The sequence below is a fragment of the Homo sapiens genome, chromosome 6 (assembly GCF_000001405.40).
Source record: "Homo sapiens chromosome 6, GRCh38.p14 Primary Assembly".
Classification (NCBI taxonomy): Eukaryota; Metazoa; Chordata; class Mammalia; order Primates; family Hominidae; genus Homo; species Homo sapiens.
The window spans coordinates 41,001,339-41,025,158 of record NC_000006.12 but is presented as its reverse complement, the minus strand read 5'-3'; the positions used below and the strand labels follow the sequence as shown (position 1 = coordinate 41,025,158).

The 23,820-nt window shown below is 44.8% G+C and overlaps 1 long non-coding RNA gene across 1 annotated transcript in view; it reads left to right on the top strand.

Annotated features, from left to right (window-relative positions):
• Positions 1 to 1,878: 1,878 nt before the first annotated feature.
• The window catches only part of LOC101929555 (uncharacterized), a 144,395-nt gene continuing 122,453 nt past the window's right edge, over positions 1,879 to 23,820 (top strand). Inside the window, exon 1 of the long non-coding RNA NR_110873.1 lies at positions 1,879 to 2,013. This is a non-coding gene — a long non-coding RNA (uncharacterized LOC101929555). The remainder of the gene's footprint in view (positions 2,014 to 23,820) is intronic.

Genomic DNA, 23,820 nt, shown 5'->3' with positions numbered 1-23,820 from the left:
CATTTGCTGAATACCTACTCTGTGCTAAGCCCTGCACAAATTGTTGGTGATAACAATCCAGTGAAGAAGAAACATTCTTGTTCTGTAGGAGCTCCTGGAAAGCTGGGAGTCAGAAGGAAGTACGCTTTCCTCCCATCCTTCTTTGTACCTGACTCAAGAAGGCAATGGGAGATGAGGTTCAGGCCGATACTCTCTGTTGCAGAAATGGTTCACACTGCAGCCTGGTGTAGAGGCAGTAGATTCAGGGTCAGTGTTCCTGGCTTATCTAGCACATCAAGTGGGTTGTTGGTTGCTGACAACAGGATTCACTCTGGCTAGTTGAGGCAGATGGGATTTAATAAAGGAAACTGAAGGACAAACAATCATTTGGAGGGTGGAGAAATAGATTTGGGGTAAAGTTTCCAAGAACAATGCCCTAAACTGTGCTGTAGGGCTAGATCATGGAGGGAAACTGGTATTACTATGGCTGCTGCTACTGAGCACTGGACACCAGGAACTTGACTTTATTGCAGCCACTCTTGCCACCACCACTGATGCTACTTCTGAGGCAGGAACCAGACCTCACCACCACATTTTTTTTTTTTTTTTTTGAGATGGAGTCTTGCTCTGTCACCCAGGCTGGAGTGCAGTGGTGCGATCTCGGCTCACTGCAAGCTCCACCTCCCGGGTTCACGCCATTCTGCTACCTCAGCCTTCTGAGTAGCTGGGACTACAGGTGCCCGCCACCACGCCTGGCTAATTTCTTTTTGTATTTTTAGTAGAGACGGGGTTTCACCATGTTGGCCAGGATGGTCTTGCTCTCTTGACCTCGTGATTGGCCCCCGTCGGCCTCCCAAAGTGCTGGGAATACAGGCGTGAGCCACTGTGCCCGGCCCCTCACCACCACTTCTGAAAGCTAAGGCCTCTGCTGCCTTCCATGCCAGCAAAAACAGAAGCTCCGTGCACTGCCTGCTCTTTATGCTACTCACTTCTGAATCAAATCTCTAGTGGAGGCCTTGGGTTGTGAGAGCTCAGACCACATCCCTGAATCTTAGCTGCAAAGACACCTGAACGCTCTGAACTCTGACTCGATCTCTGACTTCAATATTAGGGAGATGAGACTTATTACATGAGAATATCCCCAGATACGGGAAAGCTACTCAAAAGTTGATGAGAAGCCACAAATATGACAGATGTCTACTACAGTCAGAGTGTGGTCATGCTGTAGCCTCAGGCAGCAAATTCCCTTCTTAAGAACAGCCATTCACTCAGTAGGTGCCATATCAAGGTTCTGGCAGCAGAGTAGACTGAGGATGTACTATGGATTGAATGTTTCTATGCCCCTAAAATTCATATGTTAAAATCCTAACCCTCAATAAGATGGTATTAGGAAGTGGGGCCTTTAGGAGGTAATTAGGTCATGAAGGTGGAGCCCTCATGAATGGCATTAGCACCCTTATAAGAAGAGACACAGGAGAGCTTGCTTCCTTTCTGTCTGCTTTTTATCACATGGGCGCACACAATGAGAAGATGGTGGTCTGAGAACCAGGAAGAGGGCCCTCACTAGACACCATATCTGTCAGAACCTTGATAAGGTGCCTGTGTAAGACCACTGACCTTCAGAATCTTCTCAATAAAGCGTGACTGCACACATTCCTTAGGATGGCTCTCATGCCAGTACACCCAAATGTGATTCTGTAACCCAGGCTTAGACCTTGACATGTTTTAGAAGTGCTGTGGTCTGACAAAAAGCTCACCAACAGTGGCTAACTGGTTCACTCCATGCCTTCTCCAGCCCCTGTGCCTCCCTGTACTGCAGAGGCTGAAAACTAAAACTACGTTTCCCAGACTCCTTGGCAGATGGGGATCTAGATATGCTTAGGTTCAGCCAATCAGCTGGGACTCATGCAGGACTTTGATTTGGAATATGGAGGGGTAATTTGGAATAATGGAGGGAGCTGAACAGGGCACAGAGCTGGTGCTCATTTTGAGGAGCTAGAGTGGTCAGCGGCTGTGGCAGCAGCTCCCTCAGTGGTAAGTTACGTGGCATAGTTTGGGGTGTTAATATGGAATTCAACTTGGAGTATATCCCTACAGCCTTTCCAGTGATTTGTGAACTATCTATCTGGGCTCCATAATATATTGTTTGTGCTTAAACTAGCCAGAGAGGGACTATATAGTGTAAAACAAAGACCCGTATCCAGTGTGCCGATGATTTTTCCCTGGAAAGACTGTCCTTTATTCTGTGATTATACTTCATACTTGGCTTGTGTTAACAGGTCTATTATCTTATGAAAGGATGGTAAAGCTTTATTAAAATGTCTCTACTTGGTAAAGTAAAAAGATAATAATCCTGTGTGGATTTTCCTCCCCAAAATAAAAAACAAAACACAAAAATATTGGTCTGTAAAATACAAAGCCTGGAAATGCTTTTTTTGTGAGACCTGTCTTCCTGATCCTTTTGAAAGCCTTGCACAGATATGTTTATGCATCTCCTCTGCACATATTTGACTATTTACTATGTGCTTAGAAGCATGGTGGGCCTTCATTTATTTTCTTATCTTCAGGTAATCTTTCTCATGCTGACTTTAATCCAGCCTATGCTAGTTTCTTGTTGGCAGAGATGTTATGGCTTCTGGCCAACAAAAACTAAGTCAGTTCTAGCTGGTTAGTGTCATGATGTCATAAAGATATTAGCCCAAGGGCAGGAATATGCTTCATATTAGCTCTCAACCTTCAGGTGAAACCAGATTTCATTTCCAAACAAACTAGAAAAGACACAATTAGAAAATGAAGAATAATATTTGGCAAATGCTGAGTATGGTGAAGATGGGATTATAGAAAAGTTCTTTAGTGGGGCAGAGAGTATAGATGGGGGTGGGGAAGGACCCACCCTCCCTAATCTAAAGGAGGAGCTGGCCATCCTGTCCCTGGGAATCTCGGATAAATATGAAGAAGGCACATGACAGAGAAGAGGACTCAGTGGCATTGGTCATCTTGGAAATTTACCAGGAAAGCCTTTACATGTGGCTTGTGCTTGCTGCATACCCACCCACAGGCTTTCACCACAGTTGGGCTTCTTGTGCTGTGGCTGAGGAGACCATCTGTGGCTAGGTGGCAGAAGCGGACCATGTTCAGTACACAGGGTGTAAACCCTTGGGAAGTTTTGAGTTCTGGAGACCGCCCGTCTCTGTGTGCCTGTGTTGTCCTTCCTTTCTGCCTGTGACTACCCTCTTCTTTCTGGGTCAAGCCAGTCAGATATGACTCAGGCACATTCTTCCTTGGGAGAAGATCAGGTGAACCCTTTACTTCAGTCTCTGTCTCTTTCCCTTAATAAACTCTTTTTAATTTATTTGACTTCATCAAAGCAAGAATGTGGTTCCATTCCCTTGAGGCCCTTCTTGGAAGCCTGGTTATGTGGGACAAGTAAGGACTCTGGAACCCCATAGACTTTAACTTAGAAGCCAGCTTCATCACTTTCCACGTGGATTCTGGCAAGTTACTTAATGTATCTGAGGTTCTGCCTCCTTGTCTGGATGACGGGGATAATATCATCCTCCTTTTAAGATTATTGTGAGGATTAATGACTATAAAGCCCACAGCCTACACGTAGCCTGGTTCAGTATTATTCAAGGCCTTCTTCTTTGTAACACCATCTAATGACCACTGGCTGGGCATTTATTGATGTTGGCTGCAGAGCATCCCATCCCCTTCTCTAAAAGCACCATGACTTGCTTTCAAGAATCATCTTTCCCTAGTGGGATTTGTCTCAGAGGGAAATAATACCAAGGGGCAGATGCTTTCTCTCACCCTTGGTGCAGTCAGGGGGCTGGAACATGATCAATGTCTCTGTCACTCTAGACACTGAATCCTCAGTGAGTACACGGAGGTTGTGCTATGGATTGAATGTTTGTGTGCCCCCAAAATTCATTTGTTAAAATCCTAACCCTCAATAAGATGCTATTCAGAAGTGGGGCCTTTGGGAGGTAATTAGGTCATGAAGGTGGAGCCTTCATGAATGGCATTAGTGCCCTTATAAGAAGAGACACAGGAGAACTTGCTTCTTTTCTCTCTGCTTCTTACCACATGAGCATACAATGAGAAGATGGTGGTCTGAGAACCAGGAAAAGGGCCCTCACCAGCCACCATATCTGTCAGAACCTTGATCTTGGACTTCCCATCCTCCAGAACTGTGAGAACCAAATGTTTGCTGTTTGAGCCACCCAGTCTTTGGTATTCTTTATGGCAGTCTGAACGGACTAAATCAAGATGTGTGGAATGATTAGTGGCTCTCTGGAGCCATGGAGGTGTGGAAACCTGGCTGTTCCTCTCCCTGAACTGGAGCTGGAGTTCTGTTGCCAGAGGATCCTACACTTGAGTCTCCAGTCTTTTCTTGGATTTGATGAGCCCTGACGCCCTCCCTGAAAATTCCCCTTTGGCTTACATGTACCAGAATAGTTTCTCTTGCTTGAAAACTAGAATTTTGGTTAATACCCAATAACCTTGTACTTAAGTCACAAGGTATCATAGGTGCTGTATGAATTATCTATTGCTGTATTACAAATTACCAACCCCTCCAACTTAGTGGCCTCACACAGTAGTCATTTATAATCTCTCACTGTGTCTGTGGCTCAAGGAGTCAGGAGCAGTTCCTGGTTCAGGGACTCCATGAGGCAGCAGTCATCTGAAGGTTTGACTGGGGCTGGAGGATCCACTTCCACAGTGACCCAGTCAATGGCTGGCAAGTTGGTGTTGATTATTGACCAGGGGTTTTTAGTTTTTCTGCATGTGGGGCTCGCCATAGGACTTCTTGAGAATCCTCAGAGCATGCCACTACATTATTGATTCCTAAATATTCTGATAAGGCGGTTGGGATAAAAACAACTGTGAGCTCTTAGGCTTGGAACCATTCTCTGCCAGGCAAATCAACAACATCCTTCCTCTAAAGTTGTTTCCAAACAGAGGAGGCTTAATTTAATCTTGGTTGCTAGTAACTGTTTTATTCTCTAGATGATCCTAAGGTAGATTCATCTTAGCAAAACTTGGAGCAATGTGGTTTGATTCTTTTACATTAGGTTTTGTAAGTTCACAGTGCACCTTGGCAATCACTTCTCAGTGGATCCTTGCAACAGCCCATAGGGCAAGCAAAGCTGGATGTAGTGGTTCCATTTCACAAACGAGGAGACTGAGGCCTATGGGCAACAAGTGTTAGACATGGTGGTTAGGTTAGGAATCAGACAGGCCTGAGTCTGCAGTTTACTAGCTGTGTGACCTTGAGTCAGTTGCTTAACATCTGTCTGCCTTCATTTCTGCACCCATAAAATAGGCTAATAACAGAGCCACAATAATAGTGCCAGTCCTCAGGGTAGTCAGGGTTAAATGAGATAGAATATATAAAACACTTAGTATAGTGCCTGGAGCTTAGTAAGCACTCAGCAACATGAGCCATTGTAGTGAATATTAGCTCAGACTAGGACAGATGATGTAGTTTAATAATTTGCACAATAGGTTGGTTTGTATTCATTGGTGAATGGACCCACTGGTGCTTCGAAACCAGAAGGACAACCAACCCTCCTCCTTCTCTTCTAACCCACTTTCCCATGGCTCCTCCTTCTCTAGTGTTTGCTCTTCCTTCCTCTTACTCCCTACTTATCTTTTATATTATTCCAATATTTGAAGAATGCAGGGTTGTAAAAACTTATAGGGTTCCTGTATAGCTTCCAATTTACTGCAGGCCTTTGCAAAACTGTGTTTAATAAGTACTTGTTAACTCAATCAAAAATCAAGTCATCCATATGAATAAATGACTGGCTGCTCAGCTGGCTGAAGCTGCTCGTGTGCATTTGCACATATACACACACATGCACACAAATGTGTGCACACGAACACAAACATGCACACAGATACACACACACACTCCTGTCAAGCTCCTTGCAGCTCACCTTTGGAAACTTGTTCATCCTCAGCCCAGACCTTGGACAGGGTCACCTGTTACCTTCCCAAAAGGCAGCTTTGGTGGTGGGATGTGCAGATCCCCTTAGATAAAAAATAACCCCCTACATGTGACAGCCACTTGCAGCTCACTAGCTGTGCCACATCCATTATCACCCTGGATTCTGTCTCAGAGCTGAGGGCTGAGATTTTTAGTGGTTTTCCCATATGAAGGACCTGGACTCATTCAAGACTCCCCGTTCTAAAGCCCGGACTATGATGCCACTCAAAAAGCCCTGCCAAACCCCCGACCCTGTATCTCCCGCTAGAGCTATGCTTCTGGGTTAAGTTTTGCATCTCCATTGGATCCCTATTAAAACACACAAAACGCATATTTTATCTGAAAGGGGTCCAGGTCTACTTCACTGGTTAAAATTAACTTATCAGATTAGATAGTTTTTACCTAGGGCAAGCATTTAACCATTCTGAACATCTTTGGTCATACCTGTGAGGAAGTGTGGTGGAGGGACAATGGTCCACCAGAACACATTTTCTCTTCTTTCACTGTAAAAGAATTGCTCGGGCACACATATCCCCATCTCCCCAGACTCCCTACAGTTAGGTGAGCCTGTGTAACTAAGTTCTCACCTGCAGAATGTTCTCATTAGCAGAATGTGAGTGGAGTGGTGCATGAGAGTCCCAGGCCCAGTGATGTGGGGCGATCAGCATGCCTCGTGCCTGCTGCCTCTCTCCTCCTGGTCTGCAAACAGGCATGGCAATGACCCAGCTGCCACCATGAGGCTGAGGACGTTTTGGGGGATGGCAGAGAAACAAGATGGAAAGAACCTGGGCCGTGGACTCTGCCTGAAGCAAAGCTGCTGCTGACCAGGGGGACTCCCTCAGATTATGTGAGAGAGAACTACATTTCTATCTTCTTTAAGCCACTGGGTTATTATTGATGGGTCTCTTTGTGGCAGCAGCTTACCTATCTATCAGAATTAGACAAGTTTACCCATGTGAATTGCTTGGTCTGGCACATAGTAAATGCTCAGTAAATGTTAGCTCTTACTGTAACTGCATTTGTGTTTCAAAACCTTGCACACATCTCTAAACCTCAGAGTGGAGGATTTGGGAGCAGTTTTCATGAGGGCTCTGTTGGACATATGCTGCCCTGCTTTGGTGCCAGGCAATCAAGATTGACCTTCAGTGGGCATCCACCCACTTTCTGTGTGGAATGCAGAGAAGCTTCAGGCCAGGGGAGTCCAGTGGAATTGGGTTGGGGTTTGCTAAGATCCAGAGGCCATTCTTGGGCACAGACCCTAGTCACCTCTGTGCCTGGCACAGGGGCCCTGCTGACGCAACACCCTGGAATTTCTGGGCACAGAGGGCACCTGCAGACAGGGTAGCAGGTGAGCAGCAGACTACAGCATCTGGCCAGTAGGCTTGTGTGAGACACCTCCAGAGGGCCCCAGCAGTGACTGGGTGGGTGAGGTTTGGGGTGGGCTGGAAGCTCTGTCATAGCAAGGAGGGGAAAGATTGGTGAAACATGAGTGATATCTGTAAAGGTGAGCCCCCCCTGTAGCCAGGTGAATCTGGAAAACTTGGGTTACCCTAAAATAAAGCTATACAAGAGTCCTGTAAGTAAGGGGGCAGCTGTATCATTTTGTAATTCTTAACGTTTGGAATGAAGGCTCCTACTGCCCTGGTAATGCCCTGGTGCTGTTCTTTACTTACTAGGAGCTGTTGAGTCTCCTTGGTCCTACTCTGGCCCTGTTTGTATTTTCAACAGGAGATTTCTACATGTATTTTTTCCAGATTTCTACTTCGAAAAAAGCATAGACTCACAAGAAATTGCAAAAAGAGAGCTTCTGTAGACTCATCTCCCAGCTTGCCCTAAAGGTGACATCTGACTAATTACAGTGCATTATCAAAACCAGAAAACAAACACTGGCACAATGCAATTAACTAGATCATAGATCTTCCTCGGATTTCCCCAGTTTTTGCAAGTACTCATTTTTTTTTAGTATGCCTTGTACATAATTCTATGACGTTTTATCACATGCATAGATTCATATACTACTGCTGCCACATCTGCATTTATTTTCCTTCACAGCAGCAAAAAAAGTATGTTCAAAACCTACAGTGAAGTGAGGAAGAGCAGGAGTGTTTTCATCAGACACACCTGGCTTGAATCCTGGCTTCGCCCCTGGCTGGCTGTGTGACCTCAGACATGAATGAATCTTTCTGAGTCTGCTTCCTCGTCTGTAGAAGGGTGGGATGAAAATAGTACCCTGCTCCTGGGTTGTTCTGAAAGATCGCATTCCCAACAGAGTAAGTTCACAATGTGCTAATATCAGCATCCTTTTGTGAAGGCCTTTTGACTTTATGATTCAGGGTTGTTTGTTGACTCAGTCTCTGGAATAATTAAGGTTCGCAAGAAAAATAAAGTAGGAAAGTAGGACTAGCATGTGATGTTATCAGCACACCTGGGGCTGCAGTTGTCAGCCCCCTCCCTAAGATGCTTGCTGTGGTGCCCTAGGCCCAGGTCCCTGCTTCAGCCTCTCGTACACAGCTCACTGCACTCCCTCCTCACCAATGCCTCGCAAAGGAAGCTCCTTGGAGGCCCCATTTGACTCCTCCCCATCTTCATTTATCGTTGCAGGGATCTTTGCAAACTTCTCTGCTTTGCTTCCGGCCTTCCCACCCTTCCACTCCTTGACACCCACCTCTTGATATTTTTAATCATGGCCGATGGGAACACCTGGCACTACACCTATAATGAGACCATGATATACAGGAATACACTTGTGTAAACCGTATTTTTTTTTGAACATTCTTTTCTTTTTTTTTTATTATACTTTAAGTTCTAGGGTACACCTGCACAACGTGCAGGTTTGTTACATATGTATACATGCGCCATGTTGGTGTGCTGCACCCATTAACTCATCATTTACATTAGGTATATCTCCTAATGCTGTCCCTCCCCGCTCCCCACCCCATGACAGGCCCCGGTGTGTGATGTTCCCCTTCCTGTATCCAAGTGTTCTCATTGTTCAATTCTCACCTATGAGTGAGAATATGCGGTGTTTGGTTTTCTGTCCTTGCGATAGTTTGCTGAGAATGATGGTTTCCAGCTTCATCCATGTCCCTGCAAAGGACATGAACTCATCCTTTTTTATGGCTGCATAGTATTCCATGGTGTATATATGCCACATTTTCTTAATCCAGTCTATCATTGATGGACATTTGGGTTGGTTCAAAGTCTGCTATTGTGAATAGTGCCGCAATAAACATACGTGTGCATGTGTCTTTATAGCAGCATGATTTATAATCCTTTGGGTATATACCCAGTAATGGGATGGCTGGGTCAAATGGTATTTCTAGTTCTAGATTCTTGAGGAATCGCCACATTGTCTTCTACAATGGTTGAACTAGTTTACAGTCCCACCAACAGTGTAAAAGTGTTCCTATTTCTCCACATCCTCTCTAGCACCTGTTATTTCCTGACTTTTTAATGATCGTCATTCTAACTGATGTAAACCATATTTTTATTTAGGGGGAACTTTATTGAATAGAGATGATCTGTCTCTTTCTCTTATTAGACTGTGAACTCCTTCATGGCAGAGATTCTGTTTTTGAGTGGTTAAGGCACTTTTGGGGGCACACAGCCCCACTGCCTTCCTCCAATCATAATCCCACACAAATAATCATAGCTTCCATTGACTGAGCTTTCCCGTGTCTTGGTCACAGTGCCTGAAGCTCTGATTCACACAACATTTTGCAGCTGGTGTTATGATCTCCCTTTTGTGGCTGCAGGAGCTGAGGCTCAGCACAGTTAAATGGCCAACCAGAACTTGTTTTCTTCCCAGAACCTATGCTCACTTCACACTGACCTACTGCCTCTCCACTCATGTCTGTTCGATTAATAACATTAGGCCCATCATGCAGCTCCCTGGGAGAGCTTATCTGTAAAATGGCACCAGGAGTCTCCAGCTTGTTCATGTCATAGGGTCCTCAGTGAGGATCCAATGACCTGGTGATGGGGACTGCCCCCCGCAAACCCTGGCATTATAAACGGTGAGCTGGATGGACTCTTCAGCACATGTGAGTGATGCGAATTCCTCAGCACACATGCACTGAGGGACCTGCCACCCTCCACTCCTTGTAAGATAGATATTTACTTTCATTTCTCTTTATTCCATCTACTGGCAATCCTGAACCTTACCTTATAATGCTCTCCTGGGCATATAGAAGGGAATAAATGCAGATTCATCAAAAATTTATTAAAAGTCATCTTTGCTGTAGCTACCTCCCCATTTTGTTTTGTTTTCTATTTTAGGCAGCCTCACTCTGTTGCCCATGTTGGAGTGCAGTGGTGTGATCTTGGCTCACTGCAACCTCGAGCTCCTGGGCTTAAGCGATCCTCCTGCCTCAGCCTCTTGAGTCACTGAGATTATAGGTGTGAGCCACCATGCCTGTCTCCACATAGGATATTTTTAAAAATACCATCTCAGTGAATGCTCACAACCACCCTGTGATATAGGTATTATTCTCATCCTTGTTTTACAAATGGGAAACAAAGCTCAAAGAGATTAAAGTGATCTGAAGTGACCTGCCCAACATCACATAGCCAGTGGATCTGGGTTTTGAACCTGGGTCTGTCTGACTCCAAGTCCCGTGCTTGTAAACAAAATTTAGTTGTCTTCAGCATTTTAAAATTCAAAATATATGAAAGAAAAGTCAGTGACTATCTTGTCTTTTGGCTTCTTGGATCCCTTCTTCAGAGACCAATATTATCATCTCTTGAGTTTTCTTTTGGTGTTATTCTATACATATTGAATATATAGTCTATGCATATTGAATACATATTACTTTTTCTCACTTTTTCTACATTCTTCTGGACCCTGCTGTTTTACTTAACAATGGATCTTGGAGATCTTTTCATAATCAGTTTATAGACATTTCTTCACAGTTTTCCACTGTTGCATAATATTCCATTGTATGGATGGACCATAATATATTCAGTAAAGTGTGAACATTTAGATTTTTTTCCCAGTCTCTGTGTCATAACAAATCCTGCAGTGAATAACTTTGCATTTACATCATTTTGTATGTGGGGGCATATCTGTAAAAAAAAAAATCCTAGAAACCAAAATTTAGGGTCAAGGGGACACGCGTTTAAAATTTTGAGCTATGAGCACATTGCTGTCTGTAGGAGTTACACCAATTTCTGTGTCCCCAGTGCTCCCTCCTCTGCACTCTGCCAGCTTGGAACAGGTGCCAAGGTCAAGGAAAGCAGCATATGCCACCGGGACCTATTCCTCTCATTCTGCTCCCTCAGGGAGAACCAGGTTTCTGGCCTTTATTGTACTCCACCCTTTTATCTCCTGGGAAGTCACCAGATGTTCTGCCATTGGAAGAAGGGGAGATATTGTCTCCAAACAGAAGACACCAATCTATCTGTTTACAATGATTCACATCCAGAGAATCAATGAACTCTAAAATCCTTGGCAGACTCCAACTCATGGCTGGAGGAGCTGATGGTGGAAACAGGCCGCAGACTTCAGTTAAATATTAATAATAATATTAAACATTTACTGTGTGTTTATTCAATTCTGGGAACTGTGCTAAGGTCCTTGCATGGATTACCTCACTGAAGCCTCAAGATCACCCTTCAAGATGTGTACTGTCATTCTTCCCATTTTAAGGATGCAGATAGGAGGATTGAGTAATTTCCTAAGCCACGTAATTAGCAAGTGACACCACTGGGATTTGGGCCTTGGTTGTTTGATTTCTTTTCTTTCTTTTTTTTGAGATGGAGTTTTGCCCTTGTCACCCAGGCTGGAGTGCAGTGGTGTGATCTTGGCTCACTGCAACCTCCACTTCCTGGGTTCAAGCAATTCTCCTGCCTCAGCTTCCCGAGTAGCTGGGATTACAGGTGCCCACCACCATACCTGGCTAATTTTTGTATTTGTAGTAGAGACGGGGTTTCGCCATGTTGGCCAGGCTGGACTTGAACTCCTGACCTCAGGTGACCAGCCTGGTGGGACTACAGGCATGAGCCACTGCTCCCGGCCTGGTTGTTTGATCTCACACTCGCAACCACGATACCAAACCAGAACTCTTAGGAGAGCAGAAAAAGACCCGACTCTTTTCCTCTTCCATGCTTGGCTTCCATCCCTTCGGGAGCCTCCACCTTTCCCTCTTCTGCACTATCCTGGCTGCCTTTTCTCTGGCAAGGCTCAGCTTGTCTCACTTCCTTTTCTCTCCACCAGCACAACTGTTCTTTCTTTGGTCCTAGTCCTCCAGCCTTTAAACTCCAGCTTCCCTGAAGTGCAGTGAGTATACACATATTGATAAACATAACAACTACTCTGGTCTCCACAGGACCTTAAATTGGCAGAATTTCAGGTGCTGAGGTGAGCCAATGGGAGAGATTTTTTGAGTGTGTGATGAATGTTTGTGTGTGTATATGTATGTATGTGTGTGTGTATGTGTGTATGAATGTTTTTTATGTCCTTTTAGATTACACTTCATGAGCAGCTGCCACCATGAAAATGTTGGCTGAGGGGCTTGATATGGTTTGGCTGTGTCCCCACCCAAATCTCATCTTGAATTGTAGCTCCCATAATTCCCATGTGTTGTGGGAGGGAATCAGTGGGAAATAATTGAATCATGGGGGCTGTTTCCCTGATACTGTTCCATGGTAGTGAATAAGTCTCATGAGATCTGATGATTTTATAAGGGGAAACCCTTTTCACTTGGCTCTCTTCCTCTCTTACCTGCTGTCACGTAAGATGTGCCTCTCGCCTTCTGCCATGACTGTGAGGCCTCCCCAGCCATGTGGAACTGTGAGTCCATTAAACCTCATTTTCTTAATAAATTACCCAGTCTTGGGTATGCCTTTATTGGCAGCATGAAAATGGACTAATAGAGGGCTACTGACAAGGTCAGGAAATCTCTGCCTACTTAATGACAATGGCTGAGGAGGAAGGTTCTGTGGTTGCTGGCCCCAGCCCACTGCCCAATTTTGTTTCTAAACATGTAACCCATTGGCCTGAAAGTCCCACCAGCTAGCAAAGGTGATGGTGGGAAAGGCAAAGGGAAAGCCCAGGTCAGCCTGGTGTCAGTGGAGTTGAAGTCATGGAAGGAGATGCTGCTGCTTGGGGTAGCTTTGTCTTTAGCCTTTGCTATTCCTACCTCCATCTCTCCTTTCTTCAATGATAAATCTTCACACAGTGGTTGAGGAACATCAGCCTTGGAGCTACTGTGTATGTGGCCTCAGGCAGCAGGGTAACTCATTGTAGGGTGGGGTTTGCAGCCCCTCCCTCACCAGGTAACTGGAGATGGACTGAACTGGACTGAGATGAAAGACAATGTCAACAAATGCCCTGCATTTGTCCTAGCGTCTGCTACAGAACAGGAGATCAATAAATGGTTGTTATTGGTGTTGCTGTTATTTTGTTCAGTGATTTCAATTCCCTCCTCCACTTCAGCCAAGTTCTCCCTCTCCGCCTGAACATTTATTTCTTGTCCAGAGAGCCAGGAATGCACACATGACTCTCCTCTTGTGTGAAGCCATCAAAGGCCCTGCTGGACACATGTGCTGATATTTTCTGAGAGAGAAGGACCCTCAGGGAGGCCTTGTGGGCTTGCCAGCTATCCCTGGAGTGTCAGAGGCCTGCAGCGAGGGCCTGAGAGGTAGGGGAAATCTCCAGACTTTGCCTCAGCCATAAACAGGACATCTAACTGATGCCAACTCAGTAGATTTTGATTGAGAACCTACTGTGTGTTGGGGAGACCCAGAGATAAAAGAAACATGGCCATACCGTTTGGGGCTTCTCCTTGCAGCTGGGATGCCGACTCCCAGGCACACACTCCACTGTAGGGGAGCTGTCTACACTGCTCTCTCCAGACCTCTCTTCCCATTTCCCCTCAGATCTTCTGCAGTGTGGACTTCTAGGATGCCCTCTCCCTCAATGTCCTGTCTCTAGCTGTGACCCCTTTTTAGGGGTCCTTCCTTGTCTCCTCAACCTCTGAAGGTTGGAGCCCTGCAGACCTCAGAGGTTCTCTCTGTCTACCATTGCTCCCTCATTGATCTCATCTACTTCTGGCTTTAAAGGCTATCTTGACTCTGATGGTTCCAAAATTTATGTTTCTGATCTCTTTCTCTCTTGGCTTCCATCTTTTTCCATCCCTTTCATCCCTTTCCATTTATCCATTCTAGATGAATCTGGGCTGCAGATTCATCCACTCTCCTGCCTCCTCTGGCCTCCATTCCCACCTCTATCGTAGTCTGTATTAGTCAGGGTCCTCCAGAGAAGCAGAACCAATAGGATATATTTAGATGCAGCTGTTCCTTGGCTTACAATAGGCCTACATTCTGGTAAACCCATTGTAAGTCAAAAATATTGTAAGTCAAAATGTATTTAATATCCTGATAAACCTCTTGTAAAGTTGAAAAATCAAAAGTCGAACCATTATAAGTCCAGATGCTCCTTGACTTATGATGGGGTTACACCCCTATAAACTCATTGTAAAGCTGAAAAATTATAAGTTGATCCATTGAAGGTTGGGGACCATCTGTATATATAAGAGGAAATTTATCATGGGAATTGGCTCACGCAATTTGGAGGCTGAGAAGTTCCACAATCTGCTGTCTGTAAGCTGGAGACCCAGGAAAGCCAGTGGTATAATTCACTGGTAAATAATAATTCACTGGTAAACCCAGTGGTATAGTTCTGAGGCCAAGGGCCTACAAACCAGGGAGAAGGAAGGATAGTGGTGTAAGTTTTGGAGTCTGAAGGCTCAAGGATCAAGAGCTCTAATGTTCAAAGGAAGGAGAAGATGGTTGTCCCAGCTCAGGGAGAGGAGGGACATTGCTCTTCCTCCACCTTTTTGCTCTATCCAGGCTCTCAAGGGATTGGGTGATACCTGCCCAGATTGGTGAGGTCGGATCTTCTTTACTTAGGCTACCAATTCAAATGCTAATCTCTTCCAGAAACACCCTCACAGACATACCCACAAATCCTGTTTTACCAAAGATCTGGGCATCCCTTAGCCCAGTCAAGTTGACACCTAAAGTGAACCATCACATAATGTCACTTTCATATTTATTTTCATATTTATTTTTCTTTTAGTTTTTTCAGGCCGTGATGTAAGTTTCTTGGAGGGAGAAACTGTTTTATTTACTCCTGCATCCCCAGTGACTACAGCATAGTAGTTATTCAATAAGTACTTGTTGAATGAATGAAAAAATGGGAAAGGTAGGGGAGGGGGAATGGAGGGAATGCAAGGTAGGCAGGAGAGAAATAAAGATGATTACCATTTACTGAACAATTACTAGGTGCCAAACACTTGAAACCCATTTTATTCTAACCCTTATAATGCATCCCCATTTTACAGGAAAGAAAGCTGAGGCACGGGGAAGTTATGCAGGCTGTGAGTGTTAGCCAGGATTCTAGCCCTGGTCTATGCACAGCCTCCTTGCCTTTTCTCCCTCTTGACTGGGGCATCTGGAAAGGCCCACAAAAGAAGCATTTGGGTGTGACTTTGTGTACAGATGTGTGGTCTCTCAGAACCTTATCCATAGCAACTAGGAGTTTTGAGGATCACCCTCCCTACCCAGCCCACTCTTAGGAGACTCTGCCTTGGAAACGAAAGCCAGGCACCACTTAGGGTTCCTTAGGCCTGGAATCTGGAAAAAACCAGAAACTCCAGTGCAAGGTATTCATCTACTAGCTGTTGTGGCTGAGTGGGTTTCTGGAAGAATAGATAGCCTTCTCCCCTTGGGCATCTCGGGGACCAGGGGTTGAGAAGAGGGATTTGGCTGCAAGTAGGTTATTCAACTGCTGTGGACTGAACTGTGTCTACCCAAAATCCAAATGTTGAAACCCCAATGTAGCTGTATCTGGAGATAGACTTTTGGAGGTATTTAGGGTTAGATGAGGTCATGAGGGTAGGGCCCCCATGACAGGATTAATGTCCTTTAAGAAGAGACGTTGGAGCATTCTCCTGAGCGCACTCTCTTTCTTCCTGTCTCTTGTTCTCCCTCTTTTTCTTACTTTTTCTCCATGTGCACACACCAGGGAAAGCCCACATGAGCACACGCTAGGAAGATGCTTTCTACAAGCCAGGGAGAGAGCATTCAACAGAAACCAAATTGGCCAGCACCTCGATGTTGGAAAACTGTGAGAAAGAAATTTGTCTGTTGTTTTATTCCATCATGGGATTTTGTTATGGCAGCTCAAGCTGACCAAGACATTAACCATCTCCCTTGACTGGGATTGAAGGTTGTCCCTGGATGTGGGACTTTCAATGCTAAAACAAGGAAAGTCCTGAGAAAACTGGGATGAGCTGGTCATCCTAGCTATGAGTGCCACTACCCCACAGTCTGCTGAATTGTGGGGGGCATGCCTCAGACTTTTCTGCCTCTGCTTTCTCATCCCCAACATCCCACTTCATCATCTGCAGAAAGGCATGTTCTTCACATGTTCAACAGCTGAGGTCTGTCTAGAAGAGCTCAGGGTTCTGACACCTCCTTGATGGCAGCGCAGTGGAAGACTCACTTCTCCCTGCAGAAGGGAGGTTCTGATCCCTGCGGAGAGATGTCTGGTAACAGAACACTTGAGGTGGTGGGGGTGAGGGGACAGCAGGGCTTTTCCAGGGAGGCCAAAGTCTGAGAGACCTTGCTTCCAAATCCAGAGACCATCCCTTACTGGCAGCATAGCCCTGGGCAAGTCACTCTTGATCCTGGGTTGCACAACTCCAGAGATTGCCATTCATACAGAAGACAATGCAGATCATGATACATTTTAGGCTTGTTCAACATGATGGAATGAAATTACTTTATCTCAGAGTCCATTTGCTCAGCTTCATCAAAAGAAGATAAGATTGACTTCACAGGGCTGCAGAGAGAATTCAACAAGATCATCTTAGTAGGCGCCTCATCAATATTGGCTCTTGCTTTCCTTCTCCTCCTTAAGTCCTATGTAGGCAGTCTAGCACCATGGCTAGAGGTGTGGGCTTTGGTCCGAGACTGCTGAGGTTCCAGCTGTGTGATGCTGGGGACACATGGTGTGAAGTGACAATGACAGTATGACCCACCCCATAAGGCTAGGCTGTTGATTTTATGAGATAACACAGATTCAGTGCGGCCACAGCACCTACACCTAGCAAGGGTCCAGTGTGAGGTGTCATGACTCTGTTCTTTGTAAAGAACAGAGTCCTTCCCACTCTCTTTGCTTCTTTGACCTTCAGCTTCTGCTTTTTTTTTTTTTTTTGGACAAAGTAAAACCCTTTGCCCATGTTTGATATGGGCTTTTCCTCCTCCCCCCTGAGGGTGACAGTGAGAGAGGCACAGTGTGAGTGAGCCCACCTCGGCTCACCTGGCACTCATTTATTGAGGGCGTGCCATGCAAGGTCCCTTGCTGGAGGCCTTATGAACAAGGGAGGAGGAAGAGAGGCCTGAGGTTTTCAGAGGCAGCCTGAAGGGGCAGAATGAGGGTTATCTCAGAGGGGCCTCTGAGAAGGGAGAGGCCTGGCAGGAGGAAGCCAGAAGGACCTAAAAGCAGTCAGGGTTCCTATGCTAAGCAGACACTTCTATGAAGACTCTTTACTCTCTCCTCCTTAGCCTGGGCTACTGACTCAGGGCTGCAAGGGCCTGCTGGAGACTCAGATGCCCCTGTGACCTTTAAGAGACTTATTTTCAGGGTCCTTGGGGGCTGAGGCAGGGTCTGAGGGCCTGGACATCATCATGAATCAGGTAGGCCAGTAGTTCTCAACCCTGGATGCACAGTAAACACTTCTGGAGAAATGCTATAAAAGAAACTTGGGCTGACCCCTAGAGATTTTGACTTAAATGGTTTGAGGTGAAGCCAGAGCATTCTCCTACTTCAATTTTTAATTTCAAAAAGTTTCAAATCTATGAATGAGTTGAAAGAAGAGTACGATGAACACCTGGAACGTTTCACTTACATTAGCCATGTCTCTCTCTCTCTATCTATGCCTATGCCTATCTATCTATCATCTATCTATCTATCTATCTATCTATCTATCTATCTATCTATCTATCTATTTATCTATGTTTCTTTCTTTTTTCTTTTTTTTTTTTTTTCTTGAGATGGAATTTTGCTCTTGTTGCTCAGGCTGGAGTGCAATGGCGTGATCTCGGCTCACTGCATCCTCTGCCTCCTAGGTTCAAATGATTCTCCTGCCTCAGCTTCCTGAGTAGCTGGGGTTACAGGCCTCAGCTTCCTGAGTAGCTGGGGTTACAGGCATGTGCTACCATGCTGGGCTAATTTTTGTATTTTTAGTACAGACAGGGTTTTGCCAGACAGGGTTTTGCCATGTTGGCCAGGCTGGTCTCAAACTCCTGACCTTAGGTGATCTGCCCGCCTCGGCCTCCCAAAATGCTGGGATTACAGGCATGAGCCACCACACCTAGCATATATATATTTCTAAAAAATCTGAATCATTTAAGTTATAGACATCATAATACTTTCTCTTAAACACTACAGCACATCTCTTCTAAAGATACTCTCCTTCACAATACCATATCACATTCAAGAAATGTAATATTGATATAGCACTATTTCATATACTATCCACATCCAAATATCCTCCATTGTCCCCACAATGTCCTTTGTAGTTCCCTCCTTGATTCAAGGATCATGCATTGCATGTGTCTTTATTATCCTTGAGTCTAGAATAGATCATTTTTTAAAATTCTTCTTGACTTTCTTTTTTCTTTTCTTTTTTCTTTCTTTCTTTTTTTTTTTTTTTTTGAGACAGGGTCTCACTCTGTTGCCCAGGCTGGAGTGCAGTGGCATGATCTCGGCTCATTGCAGCCTCCTCCTCCCTGTTCAAGCGATTCTCCTGCCTCAGCCTTCCGTGTAGCAGGGACCACAGACGTGCGCCACCTCCTGGCTAATTTTTGTATTTTTAGTAGAGACGGAGTTTCACTTCACTATGTCAGGCTGGTCTTGAATTCCTTGACCTCAAGTGATCCACCCGCCTTGGCCTCCCAAAGTGCTGAAATTACAGGCGTGAGCCACTGTGCTCGGTCCTTCCTGAGATTTTTGAAGAATCCGTGCCATTTCTATTGTAGAGAAATTGGCTGCCATTTCATGTCAGTTGGTCCCGTTATTAGATGCTGAGTTTGATCATTTGGTTAAGTGGTGTCCACCACTGTTCTCCATTGCACCCTTGCCCCTTTTTACTTACTAAGTAATCTGAAGGGGTTATATTTGAACTGCATGAATATCTCACCAACCTTTTATTCAATGGTAACAGAATACACCGATGATTCTTAGCCGAGTAACTCACTACGTTGTAAAATGGTAATTGTCTAATTCTATCATTCTACTTCATTAACAGGCATTCTTTCATGAAGAAGAGTTTCCCCACCCTTTTGAATATCACCATGAACTGGGGAACTTAAAAAAAATCCATGTGTCATAATTAATTACAAATATTAAAACTCAAATTGTCCAAAATTTGCCTGGTGGGAGCCCTTTCAGTTTGGCTCCCGTGCTCCTTTGACATGTCACCATTAGAATTTGAGCACTTTCTTGATTTTTAGCGCAACCTGACATCCTAGGCTTACCCTGTACTGTCTCTGCTCCAGAATCGGATCAGTCATTTCTCCCAAGGCTCCTGGCTCCTTTCAATGGAGAACACTATTAAAAAACCAAATTCTGGGTGCTTGGTGCACTCATTCCATTGGAGCATTGTTATTTCTAGGCTCTTTCAGTGGATAGAGCTAGCAAATACTTTTTCAAAAAAAGAAATCTTGTATTTACTTTGATACTTCCAATTCAAATCCAACACCCCAGGGTCTTCCTTCCCTTCCCACAATCCCTATTCATGTGTTCTTTCTCTCACAGTGAGAACTTGGTTCTCAAAATGCCAACATATTCATTAACTTTCTCTATTCTACAACACACACAAATCATTTCAGAGTTACTGCACCAGTTATACTACTAAGAACAAACCTACTCAGTCAGGTTTAAGGCATCTTTGTGGTGTTTATTCTCTTTAGAATATATTCCATTAAGGGTGTATAGTCAGGGTACTGTGTCCCAAATTCTTTGAATTAGAATTTTTCTATATGATTTGATACAGAATTAGGTTTCATTTGCTTTTGTTAAAACTCATCTTTAGGTTTAGTTTTTTTTCGCTCTTGGTAATTTAATTTTGTTTCTAAACATGTAAAAACATTTAAATGATTGAAAAATCAAACATATATAAGACGGTATACTAGAAGATGTCTCCCTCCGATCCCTAGCCCTTTTGCTACATTTCTACATTTCTATTCACACCCTGCAGATAACTATTTTCGTTAGATTCTCATTTACTCTTCCTGGTATTGTTGTTGTTTTAAAATAGCATTGATCCAGCTGAAGAGGAAAAATGGAAATTTAGCTAAAGAAACTAAGTGAATCTCTCTTATAGCTAGATTAGAAAAAAATAGTGCAAGAATGGAAGGGTAAGTTGTAGTAAGAAATTAGGGACGCAAGAGGCTTAGAAGCCAGGGAACCAGGGCATCTTCTGGGCTTGAGAGTCTCAAAAATTTGATGACCCTAAAGGCAATTGTTGGTGGCTAACCTTGCAGAAAAATGTTACTTCCTGAGGATGAGGCAGGATGGTCCTTCCCTTAAAGTGATGGAAAGGGGTGATTTCATGAGGCCTGCCCTCAGGAATAAAAGCCAAGAGAATTCAAAGTATGGGCCAGGGACTATAATTAAGAACTTTTAGTCTCTTGCCGGGCGCGGTCGCTCACGCCTGTAATCCCAGCACTTTGGGAGGCTGAGGTGGGTGGATCAGGAGGTCAGGAGTTCGAGACCAGCCTGGCCAACATAGTGAAACCTGGTCTCTACTAAAAATACAAAAATTAGCCGGGCATGGTGGCATGCTCCTGTAGTCCCAGCTACTTGGGAGGCTGAGGCAGGAGAATCGCTTGAACTTGGGGGGCGGAGGTTGCAGTGAGCCGAGATCATGCCACTGCACTCCAGCCTGGGCAACAGAGCGAGACTCCGTCTCAAAAAAAAAAAAAAAAAAACTTTTAGTCAGGCTCTTAAGTAGAGAGGTGGTTGGGAATAAAGGAGTGACAGCTGTCAGCAGGAGAAGAAGCAGCCTGGGTCCGAAAACAGTTGGCTTAGGATTCAGAAGTGGCCATGAAGGTTCACATTTTGTAAAACAGCCTTCAGCGTCCCCTAAGTGACAGAGGGCAAGGGCTGAATCCAGCAGTGTGGCCCCACCTGTAAGAAGTGGGGTAGGAAAATCTACTGTCTCAAATGAGCTAGGGGTTCTGAACTCTCTGAGGAACCCCATTGTTCTCTGTTCTACATGCAAAAATTAAGGGAAAGATTTGCGTGGAGAAAATGATTTAACATTCGCCGAAGGTAAAGTGAGGGCTGTGCTGCCTAACTATGATTTTACCTCCTTCTTTTCCAGTAAGGAAAGTGGTCTTCCAATTGAAAAGGGTAGAACAAACATTGCAAAGAGGGGATTGAAGTCAAGGACAGGCATTGAGGCAGTAAAGCCGGTAGCAGCAGCTGTGATAAACTCAGGGCTCTGACCCTGATGAATTATGTCGTGCAGCCTGGGAGGGACTTGACATGAGATTTCAGAGTCACTGTCATCAATCTTTGATAAATTATAGGGGAGGGATTTGCGCTCAATGACATGAGATGGGCATATGAGCTCTTGACATTCAAAAAGGGGAAAGGAATGAATTCTGGAAGTTACAGAGCAGTGTGCTGGGATGTTCTCACCAGTGGATGTTGGGAAGGTGCACACCTTCAGCAAAACTGGTTTTGAGTTCCAGCTCTGCTTCTGGACCAGGGCAGGGCCTGGGCAGATATTTAGAGGTTAAGTTTCTACATTCAGAACCAAGGTGGTCTGGAGGGGGTCCAACCAGGGGGACAACGGACACGTTTGGGGTCTTCTCTTCATTCCTTCTCTAGTAATTCCCGATTTACCACCATGGACTTCCGGCAGCCATGGTTTCCTGTTTTAGGTTGGTTTCCAGAAGCAGACCCTGAGGCAAAGGTTTGTGTGAAAGTGTTAGGAAGTGTGTTCCCAGGGAAAATCCAGAGGTCGTAGGGAACTGGAAGAAAGAAGGGAAAGAAGTGAGTATGAAGCAAAGTGTCCCCGAGGGTAACTTTGGAAGAGTCCCACAGGGGATGTCTGTTAATGGTGTAAGTCACACTTCAGAGTTGTTTCATCATGGAGAAGGCTGGAGAATGTTTAATCCTTATGTTGTCAATCATATTGATTGAGGGTTGTCTTAGGGGATGTGAATTCCCAGGGCTGAGGCTGCCCGAGAACAGTCCTCTGACACAGAGACTCAGGTGCCTGCTGACTCAGGTGGAAGCACACCAGGAGGGGATCAAATGCCCTGAGGGGACATCAGGAGGGCACCGACAGCCTTCACAGCACTGCCTGACCCCTTGCAAACTAGCTGAGACTGTCTCTGGAAAGCACCCCGTCCAAGGTTAGCCCACTGGCTTTCCTCTCCTAGGAGCTTGGAGAAGGGTCTGAGAACTGCAGGATGGAGCCTGGGCTCATTGGGCAGCCATGTCCCCCCACCATTTGGGCTCTAGGGACATTCGTCATGTCTGACTGCTTAGCACTTTTTGAGCATCATTCTAATCCTTGTTAGAGTTCCTGACATATGGGAACTGCTGCTCCAAGGCAGAATCCAGAGAACTGAGATTTTTAGTATTTTTTGCAGCTGGTGCCAGTCATGTGACCCAGGCTCCACCGGTGAGGAGAACCTACATTAGACTTTGATTTGGAAACACATAGCTCTGGGTGGTGTATTCATTTTACTCATGCAGCTGGCAACTCAGGCTTCTTATTTTTGGGATCCAGTATCAAATTTCCAGTGCAGAGGTGGCAGCCACACAATTGCAGTAGAGTTGAGTTCCCGGCATCCAGTGTCAGCCTACTTCCTTTTGGGGAGCGATATTAAGAGTAACAGGTCTAAGGAATGCTGTAGGCAGAGGCTCCTTGGTCAGAGAGATGTTTGACCAAGTAGCTTAGCCAGAAGACAGATGGCAGAAATGTGGTGGGCTAATCGTTGGTTCAACCATATCAGAAGAGAAAGGGGATTAGTGCATTGATATTGGCTGGAAGAAGGTCTCTAGTGGCATACCTTAGGGGTCTGTCTTAGCCCTGTTCCATTCAACATTGTTATCAATGACTTGGATGAAGACATGGGAGGTATGGTCCTCAACACTATGGATAACACAAAGTTGGCAAACATGTTGGGTTACAGAATCAGTTTTCAAGATGATCTTAATATCCTGGAAAACTAAGAAAAAGATAAAACCCAATAGAATACCTTTTAGTTGTGCATTGAGTTAAAAAGAAAAGCAACTGTATAAGGACAGACTTAATAAGAGTGGGCGGAAAGAAAACTTTGGAAGGAGAGGTAGTGTTCCTCTTTACATATTTATATCCCACATATTCCACAAAGGATTGTAGGGGGCTTATAAAAATACATGAAATAGGAAAGAGTTAAAACACAGTTGAGGGAATTGGGGCAAAGTTAAAAGTAGAAAAATACTAAAAGCACAGATAAGGCAAAGTCCCAGATATGCATATGGCCCAGTCCTGCAGTGGTTACAAAAGGTGCCCTGAGCTCCCCTGTGGCTGAAGCAAAGAGGGAAACTTGATCTAATTTGAGATGTGCATAACAAATCTCATAAAAGATAAAACATAAAAGATAAACAAACCATTTATCCAGAAGAAGCACTGCTTTTCTTTACAGTGAAACCTGAAAGAACGTTCTCTTCTGGGTCCCTATGAAAAGGACACCTTGTGAAGCAGAGGATAAAGCCCTCAAAAGGTAGGATATCAAAACAAATTCAGTGAAAGCAATTCTACTTGGAGCCAGAAAAA